At 37.2% G+C, this 4,313-nt stretch overlaps 1 annotated feature.

Moving 5' to 3' along the window:
- Positions 1–110: an enhancer, noted in NCBI's record as "active region_7670". NCBI's record gives its function as "activates an Ori minimal core promoter by ATAC-STARR-seq in GM12878 lymphoblastoid cells {active_cell/tissue: GM12878}" and the evidence as "EXISTENCE:reporter gene assay evidence [ECO:0000049][PMID:35858748]".

Below are 4,313 nucleotides of genomic sequence, written 5' to 3'. Positions count from 1 at the left end.
TGGGTCCTCGGGGCAGATCCCTTATGAATGACTTGCTGCCATCCTCTTGGTAATGAGTGAGTTCTCGCTCTATTAGTTCATGCGAGAACTGATTGTTAAAAAGAGCCTAGCACCTCTTCTTTTCTCTTGCTTCCCTCCTCTCGCCATGTGATACCTGCTCCCCTTCACTTTCTGCCTTAAGTGGAAGCTTCCTGAGGTTCCTTGCCAGAAGCAGATGCTGGTGGCAACCTTCTTATACAGCCTGCAGAACTGTGAGCCGAATAAATCTCTTTTCTTTATATATTACCCAACCTGAGGTACTCCTTTATAGCAATGCAAAAGGGACTAAGAGAGAAGGTTCTTATCATTCTAGGAGATTGAAGAGCTTCTGCTTCTCAACAGTATTGCTGAAATCTTAGGAAGGAGTGCTCACACACATTTCTCTCAATTCCTGATTATTTCACCAATGGCAGGAGAATTTAGGCCAAATCATGCATGCTAATTTTGCTTTTAAAATTGGAGTTAGAGACATTGATCAGTATAAATATTCAAGTAGAATTTATACTAGGTTCATATAATCTCAACTACAGATCAGCACCACATGCCAGGACCAAAATAGGGAAGGAGGCGACAAAAAAAAAAAAAAAAAAAAGAAAAGATGCAGGTACAGGTACAGTATTAATAACTTCAAACTTTATTTTCTTAGATAAAGCAGATTAGAGTAAGTGTATGCATATACTATTCACACCTGAATCTACCACCCCTCATACTCAGCTCCATCATCCTCATAAAAAGAAAAAAATATTAAAAGTTTAATTGCTCACAATTTAAATGAATAATAAATTACATTAAATCATCCTCAATAAACATAATTCTATAAATTTTTCTTTAGTCCCAAGTATGGTCCAGTTAGAGAAGAAGGGAGAAAAGGGAGTGGAGAGTAGGCAATAAAAAAGAAAATGGTAAATAGAGAAGAGAAATAAAGGAGAGAAAGGGGGAAAGATAATGAGGGAGGTGAAGAATAACAAAAAGAAAGTCAAATATATCAAAACAATTGGAACGAGTACAAACTTGATTTTTTAAAAAAACTGAAGTAATTATAAAATGTCTCTCCCTCACTTTTTTTTGCCTCCTTCTTTATTGAATTTGTAATAATCTTTTAATTTAAATGTTAATAATAGGGGACATATAACACTTGAATTTTAAAAACTATTTTAATTTAAATTTTAAGAAATTTAAAAAATATCATTTTCTAGATATTAAAAATTCAAATGAAGTCTTATTTGACCAAATATGCCAACTCTGCTTTTTGCACCCTTGTTGTGATACTACAGTTTGTAGAGTTAAAATATAGAAGGAAATGGAAAAAAAAAACCAACTTGTATGAGTTTTTTAAATTTTCTCTTTCAAAATTCCTTTTTCACCAGAAAATGAACTCTGAGCTTGTATTCAAGGGTATGTCAACTGTTATCTCTTTGAAACAAAGGAATGAAAAAAAAAAAAAAGAAGTACTACTGCCCAATACCTGTTAGCTAAAATATAATGAAGCTCTTGTGGATTTTTTGCAGCGGGGAGAGCAGAGGGTTAAACGGTCAGCCAACAGCTCCAATTTGTTTCTGTCAAATAAGTCTGTTAAAATCTTAAATCAGCTGGGTGTGGTGGCTCACGCCTATAATCCCAGCACTTTGGGAGGCTGAGGCTGGTGGATCACCTGAGGTCAGGAGTTCCAGACCAGCCTGACCAATATGATGAAACCCCGTCTCTACTAAAAACACAAAAACTAGCCGAGTATGGTGGCATGCGCCTGTAGTCCCAGCTACTCAGGATACCGAAACAGGAAAATCGCTTGAACCCGAGAGACGGAGGTGGCAGTGCGCCAAGATCACGCCACTGCACTCCAGCCTGGGCGACAAAGCAAGACTCCGTCTAAAAAAAAAAAAAAGTTAAATCAAGTGAGTGCACATGGAAGAAAAGCTGCTGGTTGTTGTGGCCATTATTCCCTATACTACCTATAGCAGTAACCAGAGCAACATTATGTAACGTAAAAAACGTTTTAATTTATCAAATGAAACCCACAGCAAAGATTCTATCCTACATGAACATGAAGATCATGCCCAGTGATTGCTTCACAAGGTTCAACTATTTAAACTTTCATTTCTTAATAGGTCCTATTTTCCTACTTCTATGTCTATATTAACAAACTATAAAATCCTTATTTAATTGTTATATAAAACCTCTACTGTAATGTGCATTAGTGCTGAGATTTTTTGGTGCAGATTCTCAGATCTGCAGAATAAGATACCTAGAGTGCCCCTACTGTAGACTGGGGCTCACCAGGTCAAGTTTGGAAGAGACTTTGATTAATATCCTATCTCCTAGACAAATATTTCCCATTTAAGCAAATTTTGAACTCACTTTAAAGAGAAGTTTTTTTAAAAAAATCTGTATTCATACTATTTTACTTTGGTAAAAGCATAAGCTATATATAAAACTCCTTACCTTTTAAACACACAATTATGAAACCCAAAGAAATTTACAAATACATACTATAAACACACTAAAACAAAATTAGGAAAACTCAAATTTGCAACATTCATTTAATGGGTGGTGTTGGTTTGCTGAAAATAGATCTCTGATCTCTGATGTAGAAAAACAGAAACTCGGATCTGGTTTTAAAATGTACTCTTTCTCAGCCAGTGGCAGTGGCTCAGGCCTGTATTCCTGCAATTTGAGAGGCTGAGGTGGGAGGATCACTTGTGCTTAGGAGTTTGAGACCAGCCTGGGCAACAAAGTGAGATCCGGTCTCTACAAAAAACAAAAAAATTAGCTGGGCTGGGTGGCATGTCCCTGTAGTCCCAGGTAGTTGGGAGGCTGAAATGGGAGAATCCTTTGAGCCCAGAAGTTCAAGGCTACAGTGAGCTATGATCACACCACTGCACTCCAGCCTGGGTGACAAAGCAAGACCCTGTCTCAATTAAAAATAAATAAATAAATAAAAATGTAAAAAAACAGTATCTCCCACCTGTGAAAAAGATCCCCCATATTATATAGAATGAAGTTTAGCTCCTTAGCATGGCACTCAAGACACTCCAGTCAGATGCTTTCCAACCTCATTTCCCTCTGCGTTCCTCACTCACCTTTCATCGCCTTCCAGCTGGATGACTTGCCATTCTTACAGAAAAACCCAGTCCTCTCATGGACCTGTGACTGTGCCCATGCTGACTTCTCAGCCTCCACTCTTCTCTGCCTACCAACATTCTAATTTTGCTCTTAGATTCAGCTCCAAAGCCATCTGCTCCATAAAGCCACCTCCCAGTTTCCTGGTCTCAATTAACAACTACACCTTCCCCTGAGTTTCCAGAGTGCATTGCTCATATTTGTTTATATGTTGCCTGGAAATGTTAGCTGGTCATAGATCTATCTTCCTCATTATACTGTTAACCTTGGGGGGAAAAAATACATGCACAGCTTTATTCTGCTATAATCCCATAGAATTCAGTCATTTAAACTACACAATTGAATGATTTTTAGTATATTCACAAAACTGTGAAACCATCATTACAAACAATTTTAGAACATTTTTTCTACCTCAAAAGGAAATCCTATATGCATTAGCAGTCACTCCTTACTCCCCTACTCCCAGCCCTAGGCAACTCTTACACTACTTTCTGTCTTTATAGATTTGCATATTCTGGGCATTTCATATAAATGGAATCATCCAATATGTGATTTTTTTGTGTACATGTAATCTTCTAAGGGCAGAGATCAAGTTCTATTCATTAATGGAAAAGTAAAAGAGCAGGATCTATGAAAGTGAGTTTGGAATCAGACCTGAGTTAAAAATCTCAATTCAGCTATTTACTAGTTGTGTGACTTTGAGCAAGTCACTTCAACTCTCTCAATACCAGTTTACTCATTGTAAAATGGGGATGGGGATAACAATACTTCCCTTGAAAGATGGTTGTGAAAATTAGAAAGAAGATACGAAAAAAGTTCCTAGAAATGGGTTTGCTTAATAAACAGAGGGTGTTATTTGTATTTATCTTTGTATACCCACAGGGCATAGTGGATAGTAATGTGTGTTGATTAATTAATTCATTAATGACGAAGAACTTGAATGCCTTTTCTTCAGCATGCCAATAGACTTTTAACAACTTTGCGGAAGGAGCTAAAGTTAGCAGGGCAAAATCTTTCCTGGAAGATGTAAACTAGTTTCTATTTGTTTCCAGCTACTGTTCTCCCTCAGAAGAAAACAAACCTGGCCAATGGACCAGTGAGACAACACAGCCAATAAACAAATCTAGGATCTGAAATCAGAGGGAATACATTTGGGT

This window comes from Homo sapiens, chromosome 13 (genome assembly GCF_000001405.40).
Source record: "Homo sapiens chromosome 13, GRCh38.p14 Primary Assembly".
Classification (NCBI taxonomy): domain Eukaryota; kingdom Metazoa; phylum Chordata; class Mammalia; order Primates; family Hominidae; genus Homo; species Homo sapiens.
Note: the sequence above shows the minus strand (reverse complement) of the source record. Positions and strands in the feature narration are given on the sequence as shown.